This window comes from Homo sapiens, chromosome 1, assembly GCF_000001405.40.
Source record: "Homo sapiens chromosome 1, GRCh38.p14 Primary Assembly".
Classification (NCBI taxonomy): domain Eukaryota; kingdom Metazoa; phylum Chordata; class Mammalia; order Primates; family Hominidae; genus Homo; species Homo sapiens.
Window position 1 is genome coordinate 156,117,315 of NC_000001.11, and position 19,508 is coordinate 156,136,822.

Consider the following 19,508-nt stretch of genomic DNA (forward strand, 5'->3'; position numbering starts at 1 on the left):
ACCTCTGCCTCCCAGGTTCAAGCCATGCTCCTGCCTCAGCCTCCCAAGTAGCTGGGACTATAGGTGCCTGCCACCACGCCCGGCTACTTTTTATATTTTTAGTAGAGACGGGGTTTCACCATGTTGGCCAGGGTGATCTCGAACTCCTGACCTCAAGTGATCTGCCTGCCTCAGCCTCCCAAAGTGTTGGGATTAGAGACGGGAGCCACTGCGCCTGGCTTCTTTTTTTCTTGAGATAGGGTTTCACTCTGTTACCCAGGCTGGAGTGCAGTGGCAAGGTCATGGCTCACTGCAGCCTCTACCTCTCTGGCTCAAGCCATCCTCCCGCCTCAGCCTCCTGAGTAGCTGGGACCACAGGCAGGCACCACCACCCACAGCTAATGTTTTTGTATTATTTTGTAGAGATGGGGTTTTGCCATGTTGCCCACAGTCTTGAACTCCTGGGTTCATTCTGCTGAAAGAGACCACACCTGTCCTTTTCTTTATTTTTATTATATTTTTCAGAGACAGGGCCTTGCCCTGTTGCTCAGGCTAGAGTGCAATGGTACAATCATAACTTGCTGCAGCCTGGAACTCCTCCTGGGCTCAAGCGATCCTACCGTCTCACCTTCCGGAATAGCTGAGACTAAGGGCAGGCACCACCACGCTTGGCTAATTTTTTTTTTTTTTTTTTTTTTTTTGCTTTTTGTTTGTAAAGATGGAAACTTGCTATGTTGCTCAGCTGGTTCCGAAGTTTTGGCCTCAAGCAATCCTCCTGCCTCGGCCTCCGGAAGCACTGGGATTACAGGCATAAGCCACCAGGCCTGACGCCAGGCCTGTCTTTTTTCTACTAGTGATATGAACAATTTAGTTAGCAAGACAGATAGGAAGCAAGGAAGGGGAGACCCAGAGAATTCGTTGCATTCTAAACTAGTCCACTCATCTACCAAAGCCCTGTGAAGGACATTTTTAGCAGTTTTAGCAGTTTTCTGGTCAAAACTTTGATCGAGAAACAGATTGAGTGGATTCGATATTCTCTTGCTCACCCAGCCACGCCAGTTTGTCTCCTCTGCCTCCTAGTGCAGCTGTCCAGGCCTGGGACACCAGGCGGGTATGTGCGCATGTGGGGCAGGGCGGAGGTGGTGTGTGTACTTGTTATATTTAGCCACCTCCCTCTGTTCTCCCCCACTGATCCTGGCTGGAAAGGCTGGGCTTCCGGAAAAGAGAGGTGGATTTGCACACCTGGATCCCAAGCTGATAGAAAGTGGGGTGAAGACAAAGGGGACTCAGACTGGGGTGTCTGTCCTCTTCTATGCCCACAGTAGGAGGAGCCAGGATTGGTTACTCCCTGCTGGGTCTGCTGTGCTCAGAGTGAGGTAGAGAAGTGGGTAGAGTAAAGAATTTGGGAGAGGAAAAAAGGCATTTTCCCAACCCCTCCCACCAAAGCCTAGAGAGAAGGTGTTGTCTGGTTTAATGTTTAATTAGAGCTCAGAGTTCAGGGCCAGATTTGGAGTTGGGATGGAAAGTTGTTTTTAAGACCCTGTAGCAATTTTTGACCCAGCCTGGGTACCTCAACCACACTCAGGAGTTTGGGGGACCTTCTGTTGGGCTGGATTATAGGCTCCAAGAAGAAACCCCTTTCGCCAATACTCTCTCTCTCTTCTTTTTTTGAGACAGGGTCTTGTTCTGTTGCCCAGGCTGGGGTGCAGTGGCATGATCACAGCTCACTGCAACGTCAGCCTCACAGGCTCTGGTGATTCTCCCACCTCAGCCTCCTGAGTAGCTGGGATTACAAGTGTGTGCCACCATGCCCAGCTAATTTTTTTTTTCTTTTTTTTTTTTTGAGACGGAGTCTTGTTCTGTTGCCAGGCTGGAGTGCAGTGGTGCGATCTCGGCTCATTGCAACCTCCACCTCCCAGGTTCAAGCGATTCTCCTGCCTCAGCCTCCCGAGTAGCTGGGACTACAGGCACATGCCATCACGCCCAGTTAATTTTTGTATTTTTAGTAGAGTTGGGGTTTCACCATGTTGGCCAGGATGGTCTTGATCTCTTGACCTCGTGATCCGTCCACCTTGGCCTCCCAAAGTGCTGGGATTACAGGTGTGAGCCACCGTACCCGGCCACTAATTTTTATATATTTTGTAGAGATGGGGTTTCACCGTGTTGCCCAAGCTGGTCTCGAACTCCTAGGCTCAAGTAATCCACCTGCCTTGGCCTTGGCCTCCCAAAGTGCTGGGATGTATAGGCATGAGCTACCGCACCTGGTACCCCCTGCCCCTTCTCTGTCTCTTTCTAGTCTGTAGCCCAAGGGATTTGGATACCCAAGTGCAGGCAGAATGGGAAGGTTGTAAGCACCAGGGAAGCCTGTCTGGAGTCCAGGCTTGCAGCTGGGCCCCACCCCAGGCAAGGCAGCTGGGTGGATGACTCAGATGCTGCCCCCCTCCCTCCCACCCTGGTGGCTTTACAGAAGACAGCAGGAGACAGGGTGGAGACAGCAGTTGTCTTAAAGGGAGGAGTGGTGGTCTGAATGTCTACCTCTTCTGCCCCCCTCCCCATTGCATCCTGGAGTCCCTTGCCTGGCTCCTTCCTGAGACCCTCTGGTGGTGTCTGGACACATAGCTCTCTCTGGACAGGTAACATGCACAAGTAATTAGAATCCAGAGTTGAGTTCAGAGTTATGGATTGGGCTGCAGGATAGTGCCAGGGTCTGTGCCTTCCCATGTGAAACTGATGGAGGAAGGCTGAGTCAGAAGTGGGGAGATCCGAGGCCCACAAAGCAGAAGCGCTACTTCCACTCCAAAAAGGCCCTGGTGCTTGACAACTTCCTGGATTGCCCACTGTTGCAGCCCCAGTGTGGACAGGCAGGGAGATGCAGGCTCCAGTTCATGTAGGCTCTGATCAAGACAAGAACAGCAAAGGCCACAGAGGCACAGATGCTTGTCCCATGTCACACAATAAAGGGGTCAGCACTTGATCACAGGCCTTATGACTTCCAGCTGGGTGTGCTCTTACCATTAAGCCTCACTTCTCTAGCTTGGGGGACAGGTTGGAGGGAGGATCTAGAGGGTGAGGTAAGGTGAAGTCAGGTAGCTGAGGCTCACTTCTGCAGCCTGGAAACTCTGCTCTGGGGCCAGTGACACCTTAGTGCTCTATGGCCATACTTCGTGGCTCATGCCTGTAATCCCAGTGCTTTGGGAGGCTAAGGCAGGAGGATCACTTGAGGCCAGGAGTTTGAGACCAGTCTGGGCAACATAGCAAGACCCCCTTCTGTACAAAAAAATTAGCCGGTCAACACCTGTAGTCCAGCTGCTTGGGAAGCTGAGGCGGGAGGATCACCTGAAGCCAGGAGTTTGAGGCTATTGTGAGCTATGACTGCACTACTGCACTCTAGCCTGGGAGAGAGAAAGACCCTGTCTCTGAAAAAGAAAAAAACAAAACAAAACTCTGCTGTCCTGCAGGGCCTGTTAGCATATGATCGATAGCCTTTGCTCCAGCCTATACCTGGACCCAGGACCCCTGCCAGCCCCTCAATCGTGAGACGGTCAGAGCTCTGGGAGGCTGGTGATTCTTGTCTTGAGACTATCTTGAGACTTGTCATGGGAATTGTCCACCCGGATTGAAAGGAAGCTGTGCCTTTTGGCAGACCCATTAGGTTAATGGGGTTGGAGACCTTTGAGGATGCATGGGCCCTGGGCTTTATCTGAGGGTATCTCCTGGTGTTACCTCTCCAACCCTCCACCACCAAATCCATTCTTTTTTTTTTTTTTTTTTTTTTTTTGACAGTCTCGCTCCCTGGCCCAGGCTGGAGTGCAGTGGCATGATCTTGGCTTACTGCAATCTCCACCTCCCAGGCTCAAGTGATCCTCCCACCTCAGCCTCCCAAGAAGCTGGGACTATAGGCACGTGCCACATGCTCGGCTAATTTTTCTATTTTTAGTAGAGACCAGGTTTCACCATGTTACTCAGGCTGGTCTTGAACTCTGGGGCTTAAGCAGTCCACCCACCTTGACCTCCCAAAGTGCTGAGAGCCACTGAGCCTAGCCCAAATCCACGTTCTGATTCAAAGGGAAAGAAGAAGGGTGCAGCTAAACCTGGGGGGTGAGAAGTACTTAAAAAGCCCAAGAGAAACAAAAGAGAGAATAATTCCTCACTAGGACCCCCTATTGCCTTCCCACTATTGGTGCCCTTGCTTGGCACTTCCCCTGGCCTCCAGGAGTCTGAGACTTACTCTTCCATGGATGTGCCCATTGCCCCCACTTCCAGGTCCACCCCCCAGTGATTCGGTAGCTTAGTGTCTGCGCTGAAGCCCAGGACAGCTGGATGGACAACTGGTAGATCCCTTCACCTACCAACTGTGCTTTCTGCTCCCCTCCCCCTTGCTTCCCTCCTCCCCAGCCCCTCGCCACCCCTAGCAGCTGCAGCAGCCAAGACCAAGTCTTCAGAGACCCAGACACAAGGGCAGGGTTCATTCCATTCTCACCTCCTTGGGGTCCCAGTGTACTGATAGGCCGAACTCTAATATTATAGGAGATCTCTGGAAGATTGCAGGGTCTCTTATCCCTCAATAAGGGGCAAGGCAAGCCGGGCGCAGTGGCTCACGCCTGTAATCCCAGCACTTTGAGAAGCCGAGGGGAACAGATCACTTCAGGTCAGGAGTTAAGAGACCAGCCTGGCCAACATGGTGAAACCCTGTCTCTACTAAAAATACAAAAATTAACCAGAAATCGCTTGAACCCAGGAGGCAGATGTTGCAGTGAGCCGAGATCACGCCACTGCACTCCAGCCAGGGCGACAGAGCAAGATTCCGTCTCAAAAAAATAATACTAATAATAAATAAATAAATAAGGGGCAAGGTAGTCCACCAACAAAATGACAGGCAGTGTGATATAGTGGACACCCTAGCCCTCGGTGCCCTTAGTTCTGTGTGTGGCCCTTTCACTAAATTGCTGTGTGACCTTGAGCAAATCGCCTCCCCTTTCTGGCTTTCCTTAGCTGTAAAAGAAAGGGATTGGAGCGGAAAGTCTCCAGAGACCTTTTAGGTTCCAAAGTAGTACAGTGACCCACAAAGTGAGAAAACAGTCTTCTAAAATACCAAGTTATTAATAGTAAAATCAAATATAAATAATGTGAATATAGTTAATAGCTAATGTTGTTCTCAATAGAAATGTTTCCCACAAGCTGTGGAATTAAACATACTACCACATTTCTCTATTTCCCCGTGAAAGTTTGTTAGAAATGGTTAAATTGTGACATTACCCTCTTGGCAAATGTTTTGTTTTCATTGCTACTAGGAAAGGGCAACTCGTTTTCGATGCCTCTCCCTTCTGGACGGTGGAAAGGGCTGTGTCATAGAGTAGGAACGGGAGATGCGGCACAGGAATGGCTCCCATTGACCCGGGTTGGGGGCTAGGGCGAAGGCCTAGGAGAGGCAGAACTGTTACCTTAGAGCTGGCCAGGATTAGAGAACAGTGCCTGGAACCGGGGGGAGGGGCACGGTGACCTTGGGCTGCCCACCTTCTACCCTTCCAGCACCCATACTGGCTCCCCCAACCTGCGGCTGGGCTGGGAGGAGGTCTTGGCCCCTACCAATCCCTTAAGGAAGGGGAAAGAGTTTGGGAAGGGGAGTCCTCCCTTCACCCCTGCCTCCCCCAAGTTGTGAGAGAGGAAGCCGGAATCCTGCCTGCTGAAGCCAGGAATAATTCTGGCTGAGATCCCAGGCCCGGCAGGGGCGCTGAGTCATGGTAGAGGGCAGAGTGGAGAGTGGACAGGAGACCCTAAGCTTGTCCAGTCAGAAAAGCAGAGGCTGAGGGGTGGCCTTTTCTTGAGAACTACATTCAAGTTGCAGCAAGAAGGACAGTGGTCTGAATTTGACGGGGACAAATGGAAGGGAGATAGGACACATGAGTTCCTTTAGGTCTGGCTCAGGGGAGCTAGACTTCATTTCAAGGGGTCTAGGTTCTGGGCAGTTGAGAAGGAGGCTATTTGGGGTCACCAAGGCTCCCCTTTCTTCCCAAAGCTCTAACACTGCCACCTTCTGCTGGCTAGGAGAGAGCTGTGTCTTCTGAGGCTAGAGCTGGAATGCAGTGAGACCAGACTGCCTAGGTCCTCCCTCACTTCTTCTCCTGACCTTGGGGTGTGGCTCCCACTCTCTCCCAGTGTCCTCAGGGTTAATAACTATGTGCCACCAGATAGAGAGTTAAGGGGCTGCTGAATTGGCTTCTTGTGAAGGGAATCCCCTAAATGTCCCTCGTTTTGGTCACTGGCCTCCCTCCCGCCCCCTTCAGGACATTCTACTATCTTCTTAGGCCATCCCTCCCTCCTCCAGGCACTACTTCTTTTGCTCTATCCCCAAGCCCCACCCCTGCATTTTTGTGACAACACCGGAATGATTTCTAGAGAGAGAGGCCAGGAAGAAGGAAAGTGGCACTTGGCAGGAGACCTTGCAGGGGGCGGCTGGTGAGGAAGCCAGCCGCCCATTGTCCAGGACCCCAGTGCCCTGGCCTCCGGCCTCAGGCTTCTCCTGCCTCTGTACAATGCCACGTTGATACGCCCAGCAGCTGTGACTCAGGCCTGGCCCCCTGCCAGGCCCAGCACTTCTACTGGAGTTGCGTCTGAACATGTCAACAGGCTTCCTATCCCTCTCTCAGCACCAGTTCTCCCCACTTCAGCCCCTCCCTCTGCCTGGAATTAAAACCTGGCTTTGTCTTAGGGAAGGACAGCTGGGAGCCTAGTGGCTCTGGTAGGGGATCTGAGAGGCCTCAGACCCTAGGCATATTTGGCTGTTTGGCAGGTGTCACGCCCAAGGGAAGCGTGTGGAAGCAGAGCCATGCCTGCTGTGGGTGCACATGCCCGCGTGAGGGAGTCGGGGTGTTTCATCCTGGGGCACCTGTGGGCTTTTGAGGTGTATGATATTCAGAACTTCACAGGTTGGGGTTTGGGGAAGGCTCAAGGGGCTTCTAAGTCCCTGGAACAGCTGCCCCCCTCAGTTCCTCTCTCTCTCTCTCTTTTTTTTTGAGATGGAGTCTCGCTCTGTTGCCCAGGCTAGAATGCAGTGGCGCGATCTTGGCTCACTGCAAACTCCGCCTCCTGGGTTCAAGTGATTCTCCTGCCTCAGCCTCCCAAGTAGCTGGGACTATAGGTGCCCGCCACCATGCCTGGCTAATTTTTGTATTTTTAGTAGAAATGGGGTTTCACCATGCTGGCCAGGATGGTCTCAAACTCCTGACCTCGTGATCCACCCACCTTGGCCTCCCAAAGTGCTGGGATTACAGGCGTGAGCCACTGCGCCCAGCCTCAGTTCCTCTCTTTAAGGTCTCCTTTCCAGAGAGGGATAGCACCTCAAATGCCAGGGAGGGGAATTCTCCACATCCTGCCCTTACCCGAGTTGTGGCAGACCCACAGACTAGCCAAGAAACCAAGCAGTGGTTACTTTGCCGGGTTGGGGGGGAGGTAGGGGCTATCAAACCTCATGATTGGCCGCACACAAAGGTGTGAGTATGTGTATATTTGAGGGTGGGTGGGAGTGGCACTTTCACTAGGCCTCCGTATCACTCTCTGACTGGGGTATCTCCCAGCAAGCGAGACAGAGGCAGACACGCTTCCCAGACTGTCTTACTGGGTCTCTCTGTGTTATTCTCTGCAGTGTCTGTGTGTATCGTGCCATTTTCTATGTTTTGCACCAATCTGCTGTGAGTGTCCTCAGGTGACCTGGGGGCAGGTTTTTAGTGCCTGAGCCTACCCGTCTCCAGGCTTTAGTTTCCCCCTGTAAAAGTATAGGAGTTGGTTCAAGAGAAGGTTCCTCTAGAAGCCTTGAGCCTGTGAACCGTCTAGTCTCCGGGTATTTGTGGGACACACAGAAAAAGCCCCACGACCCAACAGGTAGAACACTGGCTGAAATCAGCAGGGCAGAGCTGAGACAGGCTCAAGTAGGCTGAGGGGTAGGGAGGTTTTGGGTGAATGGGAGGGAGGGACAGAGAGAAGGAGGATATATTGCAGTAGGAGGAGTTGCTGGAACAAAAGGAGGGGTGGTAGGAGTGGCTTGGGGTGGCAGCAGAAGACGCCCTGTCACATGGCGGGAAGTCAGCCTGGGCAGAGGTCTAGGTGTCCAGGAGGGGCTGGGTGTGGTGGCTCACGCCTGTAATCCCAGGACTTTGGGAGGCTGATGCAGGAGGATCACGTGAGGTCAGGAGTTCAAGACCAGCCTGGCCAACATGGCGAAACCCTATCTCTACTAAAAATGCCAAAAATTAGCTGGGTGTGGTGGCAGGCGCCTGTAATCCCAGCTACTCTGGAGGCTGAGGCACAAGAATTGCTTGAACCTGGGAGGTGGAGGTTGCAGGGAGCCGAGATCGCGCCACTCTACTCTAGCCTGGGCAACACAGTGAGACTCTGTCTCAAAAATAATAATAATAGGGGCTGGGCGCGGTGGCTCATGACTGTAATCCCAGCATTTTGGGAGGTGGAGGCGGGTGGATCACCTGAGGTCAGGAGTCCGAGACCAGCCTGGCCAACATGGCAAAACTCCGTCTCTACTAAAAATAGAAAAATTAGCTAGGCATGGTGGTGCAGGCCTGTAATCCAGCTACTCGGGAGGCTGAGAAGCAGGAGAATCACTTGAACCTGGGAGGTGAAGGTTGCAGTGAGATCACCTGGGCGACAGAATGAGACTCCACCTCAAAATAATAATAATAGTAATAATAATAAATGAAAAATTTTAAAATTAAACAATTAAAAATTTTAAATTAAAATTAAACAAATTAGATGCCCAGGAGGATACAGGAGAGCATTTGCCACCAGGCGGACTCCCTGTACCCACCCGGCCACAGGGGGCGATGTTCCTGGGAGACAGGAAATGCCCAGGGGCTGGGAGACCCTCTGCTCTTCTGCTCCCTTCCTGTGTGCTGCCTGGCAATGGGGAACTCTGAGGGCTGGTGAGCAGGGCTGCTGAGGAGTGGGTCTAAGGAGTCCCTGCAGGGCTGGGCCAGCTCCTCCACCTCCCCTTTGTCTTCCCCTCCCACTTGTTATTTTTAGCTACAGTGTCTGTCCCTCTTGCTTCTCCCCCAGATTGGGAGAGGAAACGGAGGCCTCTCCCTCCGGGCCTAGCCTGTTGCCCCCAGCAACCGGGCCCAAACAGGCCTGTGGCCGGCCCTGGCTTCCATATCTGGCATCAGAGTTGGGCTGAGCAGGGTGACTCAGAGGGTGGGTCAGCGCCTGGCCCGGTGCCCACCTAGCCCCTTTGCTGTGCTGGTGCCTTTCTTCCCCAAACAGCCCCAAGGGCCCGGGCCTGCTGCAGCTGGGGAGCCGGACTTCCTTGTCCCACCAGGCACAGCTCTTCAGACCCCTGCCTTGGGTCACATTTGCAAGTGCCAACTCTCATTTCTACCTTATTCTTTTCCTCTCTGTTCCCCTCCCCACCCCCTCTCTTCCCTCTTTCTGAGATCAGATTTGCCAGTGATGGGAAGAGTTAGAAACAGGATGCCCAGCCCTTCTCGCCTCAAGAGGCCACTGGGATGCAGCCACTCCTGTGCTTGGGGAACCTGGAGGATGCAAGGGAAAGGACTGGCACTCTGCTGGCACAGCACCCGGCCTGGGGCAGGACACGGGCGAAGCCAGGGTCTCCCCTGTGAGCACTAGAGGATTTCCCGACCCCTGCCCGGGTATTGTGTGCCTGAGCATGAGTCACCTGAGGGGCCCAGGTTCCCACCCTTCCCAGCTCCTCTGGCCTGCCCCACCCTGTCCTCCCTGCCAACCCAGCACGGGGACGGCACTCAGCGTGTGCTCAGCTTTCCTGATGCCAACCCCCAGTGGAGTGGGCTGCACCACCACCCTGGGACCGAATGCCTGGCTAGGGTCTACTTTGGTCCCTGCTAGGTCTGAGGACCCCTCCTAGGAAGGAAATGGCACTTGGGGGCGGGGGCAGGGAGGAGGGAGGAGAGACACTGGGCTCTACTGTACCCCTAGTCATCTCTTGGGGTGTGCGTGTGGCTCCCTGGCCACAGAGCTCCCAAGGTCTGAGTCATGAGCCCATGGGTGATAGTGGCTTCTTCCCCGCAGATGGGAGCTCCCCGTGCCTAAGAAAACCACAAAGGTTCTTCCTCACTTCCCTCTCTGCTCGTGGTTTTTCTCATCTGCAGGGTGTGTCTTAGTCCTTTAATCTCCTCTCTTTGCAGTGCTAGTCAAAACCTCCACCAGGGAAAGACAAATAACCCCCTTACTGTTTTTTTTTTTTTTTTTTTTTTTTTTTGAGATGGAGTCTCGCTCTGTCACCCATGCTGTAGTGCAGTGGCACAATCTCGGCTCACTGCAACCTCCGCCTCCCAAGTTCAAGTGATCCTCCTACCTCAGCCTCCTCAGTAGCTGGGACTACAGGTGCACACCACCGTACCCAGCTAAATTTTTTTTTTTTTTTTTTGAGATAGAGTCTCACTCTGTCACCCAGGCTGGAGTACAGTGGTACAATCTCAACTCACTACAATCTCCGCCTCCCAGGCTCAAGCAATTCTCGTGTCTCAGCCTCCCAAGTTGCTGGGACTATGGACGTGCACCACCTTGCCCGACTAATTTTTGTATTTTTGATAGAGTCAGAGTTTCACCATGTTGGCAGGCTGGTCTCGAACTCCTGGCCTCAAGTGATCCACCTGCCTTGGCCTCCCAAAGTGCTGGGATTACAGGTGTGAGCCACCACACTCAGCCAGCCCCCTTACTTTCCTTGGAGACCATATACTGTGGCTTGTGCCAAAGTGGTACAGCATGGATTTCCAGCTCCCCTATCTACTTGCTGCGGGACCCTAGATATAGCTTTCTGTGCCTATTTCCTCAATTGCATAGGAATAGCACCTATCGCATAGGGTAGCTGTGAAGATGACGTGAGTTAACATAATATTTAGAGCAGTGCTTGGTACCTAATAAGCTCTATATAAGTGTTTGCTATTATATTATTATTATCACTGCCACCACCGCTTTTGCAAGCAGCAGAAGGTGAAGAGGTTAGACTGAAGAAAAAACTTCTGTGCTCATCAGCCCATAAGCTCGCAGAGCACAGGGATCATGCATCTATGTTTTCCTCAGTCAGTGTCTGCCAGGCACTGGCAAGGAAAGGCTGTTACCAGGGGGAACTCCAGGAATTCCTCCTGGCACCTAAGGAGGCTGGGGAGACAGGACTAGGGAAAAGGTGCCCTTGAGACACCTTCTGAAATCATCCCATTGCCTTCCAGCTTCTTTCAGCTCAGGCTGGCTGGTCAGGGAAACGCTTTGTGCCATAGTGTCTGCCCTCTTCCTCCTCCTGGCTTCTCCATTCTCTCTGGAACTTGTGGCTTAGGAAAGCAGTGAGGTGGAGGAGGAGGAACCCTAGATCAGCAGCTAGAATTGACTGGAATGCTGCTGCTGGCTTTCGGTAATTGACACTGGGCCATTCACCTTCCTCCTTTGCACCTCAGTTTCCTCATCTATAAAAGGGAGAGGGTTGAGCTGAATCAACTCTAAGCTCCTTCTAGTTCTCTAAATTCTGAGAGCCTCCTAGTACAGCCAGCAGCAGCCATTAGCCTTCAGGGTAGAGAGGCCTCTTCTGGGAAGCCCCAGCCAGCCTGGGGGTCAGCCCAAGGAGCTCGGAATCTAAGTTGCCCCAGTTGCTTCACTTTACCAGCGGTTTTTCTTCATTTTCCCTCCTCCCCCTGCAGCTGCTTCAGCTTCGGAAAAGTTCTGAAGTCATGGAAAGTTGGGGCTGTGCTCCCAGCCAGGGGCTAGGCCGGATGGCAGCCAAAACCTGAGCTGGGTTTTGACTTTATTTTTAGCTTTTCTGACTGAGACAGAGGAGGGAATACATTCTCCGGTTCTGGAAGGGGCTCTTTTTTGCAGGAGACAGACACTTACATTAAACAACTTGTTCTGAGGTGTGGCCAGAGGCCTGGACTGAGCAAGTGTGCAGGCTGGGGGAGCTTCCTCTGGCTTCTCATGTCCTTCCCCTGCCCCTCTGAGTGTCACTCTATCCTCCTCCCTGCCTGGTGGGGGGAGGTGGGGGTGACTCCTTTTTTGGACTCTCCTAAGCAGAACACTGCCTGGGTCTCGTCCTCCAGAGCTTCTGCAAATCTAGCCTTCCCTATCCCTCTTCACAGTGAATTGCTGGGCCTCTTGGAGTTTAGGACTTTTGTGGTAGAAGAAAAATGTTGGCAGGGCTGCTTTTCTCCTTTCCAGGATAGATTTTTCCTTCTGCCCACGCTTGGTTTTCCTTTTTTCCATCTGCTGTGGTGGGCTCATGCTTAAGCACTGATGAGTTACAGATGGCAGCTGGAACCAGGTCCTCTGGATCTTTCCCTCCGCTCCCTGGGTCTGCTGCTTTCTCTCACCCTATATTTGTGAAGCAATTGTAACATCTAGAAAGTTCTTGGGTTCTCTGGAGGTTTTTAAGAAAATAGGACCTTTCTATTTCTCCAGTCCACTAGCAAAAATAATCAGGGGCCCAGAAAAGGTGAGGGAGGTGGCAGAGGCAGCGCTGTTCGACTGGTTATAGCTAAAGCTTTACCCACTTTGAGGAGCAGGGAGGCTTAAAGCTGGGGCCCAGATGGACCTGGAGGCCTGGGATCCACATCTGGAACCAGATGCTGAGGCTATGGTAGATGGGTAGGGCTCAGCCTTCTCCCAGGGCACGGATGAGGCAGGAGGGAGGGAGGCAGGGACCCCTCTGTTCAGTGCAGATCAGGGCACCCAGACTGGGTCCTGAGAAAGGAAAGGGTCAATATTGTGCCTGGTCATCCTTGTCTGAGGTCCCTCTGAGCTCTAACCAGACTTTCCTTCCCCACAGTCCCACATGTGTAAAAGGGACTAGGAGAGGTGACCAGTACCTTTGGGGCTCAGATCGAGAAGTGCTAGGGACATGTGGGCCATGAGCTTAGTTGTCAGGCTCCTCAGAGGGAGGGAAGCTTGGCCAAAGGGAAGTGAGTAGAGTCCAGGGAGAAGGCTAAGTAAGGCCCTGTGTGGGAAGGGGCAGGAGACAAAGGTACCCCTGTCTCTTTGGGAAAGAATGGGAGGAGAGAGAGGGAAAAGCATTCATATCACGGGGTAGAGCTCTGCCCTTGGCCCCAGGCACGTTCCTGAGCCCTGAGTCATGGGAAGGGTGGAGAAGCAGGAAGGGGGTTTTCAAGGACCTTGGGGAGGTGGGAGCCCAGCCCCAGAGGCAAGCAGATGCAAACCAACCTAATGCAAGGATGCCCTCTCCTGGTAATTGCAGGCATAGCAGCGCCAGCCCCCATGGCTGACCTCCTGGGAGCCTGGCACTGTCTAGGCACACAGACTCCTTCTCTTAAATCTACTCTCCCCTCTCTTCTTTAGCAATACCAAGAAGGAGGGTGACCTGATAGCTGCTCAGGCTCGGCTGAAGGACCTGGAGGCTCTGCTGAACTCCAAGGAGGCCGCACTGAGCACTGCTCTCAGTGAGAAGCGCACGCTGGAGGGCGAGCTGCATGATCTGCGGGGCCAGGTGGCCAAGGTGAGGCCACCCTGCAGGGCCCACCCATGGCCCCACCTAACACATGTACACTCACTCTTCTACCTAGGCCCTCCCCCATGTGGTGCCTGGTCTGACCTGTCACCTGATTTCAGAGCCATTCACCTGTCCTAGAGTCATTTTACCCACTGAGGTCACATCTTATCCTAATTTGGCTGCCAATGGGATCTACCACAGTGAATTTAAAATAATCCAGGAGGCCGGGCATGGTGGTTCACGCCTGTAATCCCAGCACTTTAGGAGGCCGAGGTGGGCCGATCACGAGGTCAGGAGATCGAGATCATCCTGACTAACATGGTGAAACCCCGTCTCTACTAAAAATACAAAAAATTAGCCTGGCATGGTGGCGGGCGCCTGTAGTCCCAACTACTCGGGAGGCTGAGGCAGGAGAATGGCGTGAGCCTGCGAGGCAGAGCTTGCAGTGAGCTGAGATCATGCCACTGCACTCCAGCCTGGGCAACAGAGTGAGACTCCGTCTCAAAAAAATAATAATAATAATAATAAAAATAATCCAGGCCATGTGTGGTGGCTCATGCCTGTAATCCCAGCATTTTGGGAGGCCAAGGAGGCAGGATTGCTTGAGTCCAGGAGTTTGAGACCAGCCTGGGCAACACAGACCCCATCTCTAGAAAATAAAAATTTAAAGAAATTAGCTGGGCATGGTGGTGTGCACCTATAGTCCCAGCTACTTGGGAGGCTGAGGCAGGAGGATGGCTTGAACCTGAGAGGTCGAGGATACAGTGAGCTGTGATTGCACCACTGCACTTCAGCCTGGGTGACAGAGGGAAACCCTGTCTCTACATAAATAAATACATAAAATAAAATAATCCACAAGCCATTTCTACTTAACTTTGCAATGAACTGTACCTGACCCTAGATCCCTCCCAGTTTGGCCCTCCGGTATACAAGGGCCTCCTATAGGCCCTTGTGATTTCTCTGGGGAAAAGGAGGACTGGAGTTGATCATTTATTGAGGCCATCAGAAGCGGATGGCTAATTACATATGGGACATGTGTTAATAATGCTTTGTGTATATAGAGTGGCCTTTACTTTCAAAACACTCTTCTCCAATTTATCATGTTAAAAGCTAGGAATTGGGCTGGGTGCAGTGGCTCACGCCTATAATCCCAGCACTTTGGGAGGCCAAGGCGGGTGGATCATTTGAGGTCAGGAGTTTGAGACCAGTCTGACCAACATGGTTAAACTCCGTCTCTACTAAAAATACAAAATTAGCCAGGCGTGGTGGCACACACCTGTAGTCCCAACAACTACTTGTGAGGCTGAGGCAGGAAAATCATTTGAACCCAGGATCAGAGGTTGTGGTGAACTGAGATTGCACCATTGCACTCCAGCCTGGGCAACAAGAGCAAAACTCTATCTCAAAAAAAATAAAAAATAGCCAGGCACGGTGGCTCATGCCTGTAATCCTAGCACTTTGGGAGGCAGAGGTGGGCAGATCACCTGAGGTTAGGAGTTCGAGACTAGCCTGGCCAACATGGTGAAACCCCATCTCTACTACAAATACAAAAATTAGCTAGGCATGGTGGCAGCCACCTGTAATCCCAGCTACTTGGGAGGCTGAGGCAGGAGAATCGCTTGAACCCGGGAGGTGGAGGTTGCAGTGAGCCAAGATCGGGTCACAGCACTCCAGCCTAGGCAACAGAGCGAGACTCCATCTCAAAAAAACATAAATAAATAAAAATAAAAATAAATAATAAATAAAAGCTAAGAATCAAAGAAGCAGTTTATTCCTAATTTCACAGTCTCATCTGTTCATAGTGGGGCCAGGATTAGAGTCAGTGGCCAAGCTTCCATCCTGGGTTCTTTCCCTTCCCAGGCCCTACCATCATAGTATACCAGGGAAAGACCTGGAGAAGCCAGCAGGTTGACCACCGAACCAAGGCTGGGCCACCTTCCTCCTGGGTCTGGTCTCCAGCCTCCCAGTTGTACCCTTCCCCCAGCCCTTCCTGGATGCACTGATCAGCCTGTGCTTCCTTGCCCTGTTTTTCTTTATAAATAGAGCCATGTTCTCCTCTCTCTCTCTCTCTTTTTTTTTTTTTTTTTTTTGAGATGGAGTCTTACTCTGTCACCCAGGCTGGAGTGCAATGGCACGATCTCAGCTCACTGCAACCTCTGTCTCCCAGGTTCAAGCAATTCTCCTGCCTCAGCCTCCCGAGTAGCTGGGATTACAGGTGCCCACCACCATGCCCAGCTACTTTTTGGATTTTTAGTAGAGACAGGGTTTCACCATGTTGGTCAGGCTGGTCTTGAACTCCTGACCTTAGGTGTTCTGCCCGCCTCAGCCTCCCAAAGTGCTGGGATTACAGGCGTGAGCCACCACGCCTGGCAAGACGTGTTCTCTCTATGTTGTTGAGGCTGGTCTTGAACTCCTGGCTGCAAGAGATCTTCCTGCCTCAGCCTCCCAATGTGCTGGGATTATAGGCATGAGCCACCACACTTAGCCCAGCCTGTGCTTTCTTAAATGAAAATCTAAGCATACGGCTGGGTGTGGTGGCTCACGCCTGTAATCCCAGCATTTTGGGAGGCCAAGGTGGGCAGATCACGAGGTCAGGAGATCGAGACTATCCTGGCCAACATGGTGAAACCCTGTCTCTACTAAAGATACAAAAATTAGCTGGGTGTGGTGGCCCATGTCTGTAGTCCCAGCTACTCGGGAGACTGAGGCAGGAGAATGGCATGAACCTGGGAGGCAGAGCTTGCAGTGAGCTGAGATCGCGCCACTGCTCTCCAGCCTAGGTGACAGAGCGAGACTCCATCTCAAAAAAAAAATAAAAATAAAAAAAAGAAAATCTAAGCGTGGTGCTCCCCTGCTCAAACATCCTCAGGTTCTTTTCATGGCAGATAAGGGCATCTCTTCATGAGCCAGCCCCTGCCTACTGACCCAGCCACCTCTCCCATCCCTTCCCACCCCGTACTTCAGGCTTCAGCAGTACTGATCTTTCCAAAGACCCCAGAACACACATGCCTTCATACCTCTGTGCCTGTACATGCTTGTTTCTGCCCTTGAAATCATGACAGTAGCTCTCTGTAGGCCCCGCTAGCCTGTCCCTTGGGTCTTAGCCTCTTGGAGGCCTTCCCAGAGCCCCCCAAAAGTACCCCAGGCATACTTTGGTTCCTTCTCTCATGTCCCCTCAGTACTTTGCACATACCTCCTTTATAGCAGTTGCTATGTTGTGCCAGAGAAGGGAGTCCTGTGGCTGGGGGGCATATATCTTTTCTTTTTGAGACAGAGTCTAGCTGTGTCACCCAGGCTGGAGTGCAGTAGTGCGATCTCGGCTCACTGCAACCTCCACCTCCTGGATTCAAGCGATTCTTGTGCCTCAGCCTCCTGAGTAGCTGGGACTACAGGCGTGTGCCACCATCATGCCTGGCTACTTTTTTGTATTAGATATATATTTTCTCTCTTAGCACAGTACCTACCAAGAGTGAGTGAGTAGATGTCCTGACCCCTGCAGGCATCCAAGGCCCTCCTTCCCTGGACCTGTTTCCACATGTGTGAAGGGGTGCACAGGCAGCAGCCCACCTCTCAGCTTCCTTCCAGTTCTTGTGTTCTGTGACCCCTTTTCCTCATCTCTGCCTGCTTCCTCACAGCTTGAGGCAGCCCTAGGTGAGGCCAAGAAGCAACTTCAGGATGAGATGCTGCGGCGGGTGGATGCTGAGAACAGGCTGCAGACCATGAAGGAGGAACTGGACTTCCAGAAGAACATCTACAGTGAGGTGGGGACTGTGCTTTGCAAGCCAGAGGGCTGGGGCTGGGTGATGACAGACTTGGGCTGGGCTAGGGGGGACCAGCTGTGTGCAGAGCTCGCCTTCCTGAGTCCCTTGCCCTAGTGGACAGGGAGTTGGGGGTGGCCAGCACTCAGCTCCCAGGTTAAAGTGGGGCTGGTAGTGGCTCATGGAGTAGGGCTGGGCAGGGAGCCCCGCCCCTGGGTCTTGGCCTCCCAGGAACTAATTCTGATTTTGGTTTCTGTGTCCTTCCTCCAACCCTTCCAGGAGCTGCGTGAGACCAAGCGCCGTCATGAGACCCGACTGGTGGAGATTGACAATGGGAAGCAGCGTGAGTTTGAGAGCCGGCTGGCGGATGCGCTGCAGGAACTGCGGGCCCAGCATGAGGACCAGGTGGAGCAGTATAAGAAGGAGCTGGAGAAGACTTATTCTGCCAAGGTGCTTGCTCTCGATTGGTTCCCTCACTGCCTCTGCCCTTGGCAGCCCTACCCTTACCCACGCTGGGCTATGCCTTCTGGGGATCAGGCAGATGGTGGCAGGGAGCTCAGGGTGGCCCAGGACCTGGGGCTGTAGCAGTGATGCCCAACTCAGGCCTGTGCCTCCACCCCTCCCAGTCACCACAGTCCTAACCCTTTGTCCTCCCCTCCAGCTGGACAATGCCAGGCAGTCTGCTGAGAGGAACAGCAACCTGGTGGGGGCTGCCCACGAGGAGCTGCAGCAGTCGCGCATCCGCATCGACAGCCTCTCTGCCCAGCTCAGCCAGCTCCAGAAGCAGGTGATACCCCACCTCACCCCTCTCTCCAGGGGCCTAGAGTCTGGGCCGGATGCAGGCTGGAAGCCCAGGGTTGGGGGTGGGGGTGGGGGTGGGAGGTTCCTGAGGAGGAGAGGGATGAAAAGTGTCCCCACAACCACAGAGAAGGGTCGCAGGATGTGGAGTCAGATGGCCTGTGTGCTGTTTCTGTACACTCTTACCTCACCTTCACTTCTCAGGGCTTTGGTTTTCCCATTCGAAAATGGAGGCTGTTCTTAATCTCCCTAACTCAGAGTTGCCACAGGACTCTGCAATGTGAGGTGTTAAAAGCATCAGTATTTTTCTAGTTGGCTGTGCTATTTGTGACAGGAGAAAAAGTCTAGCCTCAGAACGAGAGGTTTCAGTTAGACAAGGGGAAGGACTTCCCAGTTGCCAGCCAAGACTATGTTTAGAGCTTGTGATGTTCAGAGCTGGCTCTGATGAGGGCTCTGGGGAAGCTCTGATTGCAGATCCTGGAGAGAGTAGCCAGGTGTCTCCTACACCGACCCACGTCCCTCCTTCCCCATACTTAGGGCCCTTGGGAGCTCACCAAACCCTCCCACCCCCCTTCAGCTGGCAGCCAAGGAGGCGAAGCTTCGAGACCTGGAGGACTCACTGGCCCGTGAGCGGGACACCAGCCGGCGGCTGCTGGCGGAAAAGGAGCGGGAGATGGCCGAGATGCGGGCAAGGATGCAGCAGCAGCTGGACGAGTACCAGGAGCTTCTGGACATCAAGCTGGCCCTGGACATGGAGATCCACGCCTACCGCAAGCTCTTGGAGGGCGAGGAGGAGAGGTGGGCTGGGGAGACGTCGGGGAGGTGCTGGCAGTGTCCTCTGGCCGGCAACTGGCCTTGACTAGACCCCCACTTGGTCTCCCTCTCCCCAGGCTACGCCTGTCCCCCAGCCCTACCTCGCAGCGCAGCCGTGGCCGTGCTTCCTCTCACTCATCCCAGACACAGGGTGGGGGCAGCGTCACCAAAAAGCGCAAACTGGAGTCCACTGAGAGCCGCAGCAGCTTCTCACAGCACGCACGCACTAGCGGGCGCGTGGCCGTGGAGGAGGTGGATGAGGAGGGCAAGTTTGTCCGGCTGCGCAACAAGTCCAATGAGGTAGGCTCCTGCTCAGGGTCTAAGGGGATACAGCTGCATCAGGGAGAGAGTGGCAAGACAGAAGGATGGCATGTGGAGAGAGGAACATCCTTGCCCTCAGAGGGTGGACCAGGGTGAGCCTGTATATCTCCTCCACACTCTGGTTCCAGGCCTGGCTCCTGGACTCTTTGGCTGTGAGACCTTGAGCAGGTTATTTAACCTCTCAGAGCATCAGTTTCCTCATCTGTAAAATGGGGATGAATACTGATCCCTAAGTCTTTGAGTTGTCAGGAAGATGAAAGATAAGGTATCCGTGTGCCTGGTGCTGCGTATGTGTCCACAGATCATGGCTATTATCCCCGGGGGAAGGGCAGTGACAGGGGTGTGTGTAGATGGAAGGAGAGGCC

General features: G+C 53.1%; 1 protein-coding gene across 28 annotated transcripts in view, besides 13 other annotated features; it reads left to right on the plus strand.

The window, feature by feature from the left end:
• The window catches only part of LMNA (lamin A/C), a 57,509-nt gene that overhangs the window by 34,742 nt on the left and 3,259 nt on the right, over nucleotides 1-19,508 (plus strand). For 12 of the 28 annotated variants that reach the window (NM_001406983.1, NM_001282625.2, NM_001406984.1 and 9 more), the window contains 6 exons: nucleotides 13,303-13,459; nucleotides 17,089-17,214; nucleotides 17,491-17,661; nucleotides 17,873-17,998; nucleotides 18,587-18,807; nucleotides 18,900-19,122. In NM_001406983.1, coding sequence (NP_001393912.1) covers nucleotides 13,303-13,459; nucleotides 17,089-17,214; nucleotides 17,491-17,661; nucleotides 17,873-17,998; nucleotides 18,587-18,807; nucleotides 18,900-19,122 — 1,024 coding nt within the window. Of the gene's footprint in view, nucleotides 1-8,855; nucleotides 8,910-9,240; nucleotides 9,338-9,421; nucleotides 9,636-12,512; nucleotides 12,595-13,302; nucleotides 13,460-17,088; nucleotides 17,215-17,490; nucleotides 17,662-17,872; nucleotides 17,999-18,546; nucleotides 18,808-18,899; nucleotides 19,123-19,508 lie in introns of those variants that run through there. The other 16 variants (NM_001406989.1, NM_001257374.3, NM_001406998.1 and 13 more) reach the window with 10 other exon arrangements.
• Nucleotides 170-669: an enhancer, noted in NCBI's record as "H3K4me1 hESC enhancer chr1:156087275-156087774 (GRCh37/hg19 assembly coordinates)". NCBI's record gives its function as "activates a minimal SCP1, AML or CMV promoter by ChIP-STARR-seq in naive and primed H9 embryonic stem cells {active_cell/tissue: H9 hESC(naive and primed)}" and the evidence as "EXISTENCE:reporter gene assay evidence [ECO:0000049][PMID:30033119]".
• Nucleotides 3,324-4,310: an enhancer, noted in NCBI's record as "H3K27ac-H3K4me1 hESC enhancer chr1:156090429-156091415 (GRCh37/hg19 assembly coordinates)". NCBI's record gives its function as "activates a minimal SCP1, AML or CMV promoter by ChIP-STARR-seq in primed H9 embryonic stem cells {active_cell/tissue: H9 hESC(primed)}" and the evidence as "EXISTENCE:reporter gene assay evidence [ECO:0000049][PMID:30033119]".
• Nucleotides 6,285-7,272: an enhancer, noted in NCBI's record as "H3K27ac-H3K4me1 hESC enhancer chr1:156093390-156094377 (GRCh37/hg19 assembly coordinates)". NCBI's record gives its function as "activates a minimal SCP1, AML or CMV promoter by ChIP-STARR-seq in naive and primed H9 embryonic stem cells {active_cell/tissue: H9 hESC(naive and primed)}" and the evidence as "EXISTENCE:reporter gene assay evidence [ECO:0000049][PMID:30033119]".
• Nucleotides 6,431-6,480: an enhancer, noted in NCBI's record as "active region_1841". NCBI's record gives its function as "activates an Ori minimal core promoter by ATAC-STARR-seq in GM12878 lymphoblastoid cells {active_cell/tissue: GM12878}" and the evidence as "EXISTENCE:reporter gene assay evidence [ECO:0000049][PMID:35858748]".
• Nucleotides 6,501-6,670: an enhancer, noted in NCBI's record as "active region_1842". NCBI's record gives its function as "activates an Ori minimal core promoter by ATAC-STARR-seq in GM12878 lymphoblastoid cells {active_cell/tissue: GM12878}" and the evidence as "EXISTENCE:reporter gene assay evidence [ECO:0000049][PMID:35858748]".
• Nucleotides 7,674-7,793: an enhancer, noted in NCBI's record as "active region_1843". NCBI's record gives its function as "activates an Ori minimal core promoter by ATAC-STARR-seq in GM12878 lymphoblastoid cells {active_cell/tissue: GM12878}" and the evidence as "EXISTENCE:reporter gene assay evidence [ECO:0000049][PMID:35858748]".
• Nucleotides 7,814-7,883: an enhancer, noted in NCBI's record as "active region_1844". NCBI's record gives its function as "activates an Ori minimal core promoter by ATAC-STARR-seq in GM12878 lymphoblastoid cells {active_cell/tissue: GM12878}" and the evidence as "EXISTENCE:reporter gene assay evidence [ECO:0000049][PMID:35858748]".
• Nucleotides 7,814-8,118: a biological region, named in NCBI's record as "Sharpr-MPRA regulatory region 4592".
• Nucleotides 7,824-8,118: an enhancer, noted in NCBI's record as "tiled region #4592; K562 Activating DNase matched - State 5:Enh". NCBI's record gives its function as "activates a minimal TATA promoter and a strong SV40 promoter by Sharpr-MPRA in K562 cells {active_cell/tissue: K562}" and the evidence as "EXISTENCE:reporter gene assay evidence [ECO:0000049][PMID:27701403]".
• Nucleotides 8,892-9,101: an enhancer, noted in NCBI's record as "active region_1845". NCBI's record gives its function as "activates an Ori minimal core promoter by ATAC-STARR-seq in GM12878 lymphoblastoid cells {active_cell/tissue: GM12878}" and the evidence as "EXISTENCE:reporter gene assay evidence [ECO:0000049][PMID:35858748]".
• Nucleotides 9,122-9,171: an enhancer, noted in NCBI's record as "active region_1846". NCBI's record gives its function as "activates an Ori minimal core promoter by ATAC-STARR-seq in GM12878 lymphoblastoid cells {active_cell/tissue: GM12878}" and the evidence as "EXISTENCE:reporter gene assay evidence [ECO:0000049][PMID:35858748]".
• Nucleotides 9,247-10,232: an enhancer, noted in NCBI's record as "H3K27ac-H3K4me1 hESC enhancer chr1:156096352-156097337 (GRCh37/hg19 assembly coordinates)". NCBI's record gives its function as "activates a minimal SCP1, AML or CMV promoter by ChIP-STARR-seq in naive H9 embryonic stem cells {active_cell/tissue: H9 hESC(naive)}" and the evidence as "EXISTENCE:reporter gene assay evidence [ECO:0000049][PMID:30033119]".
• Nucleotides 12,588-13,787: an enhancer, noted in NCBI's record as "MED14-independent group 3 enhancer chr1:156099693-156100892 (GRCh37/hg19 assembly coordinates)". NCBI's record gives its function as "activates an origin of replication core promoter dependent on BRD2, BRD4, P300/CBP and CDK7 cofactors, and independent of MED14, by STARR-seq in HCT116 cells {active_cell/tissue: HCT116}" and the evidence as "EXISTENCE:reporter gene assay evidence [ECO:0000049][PMID:35650434]".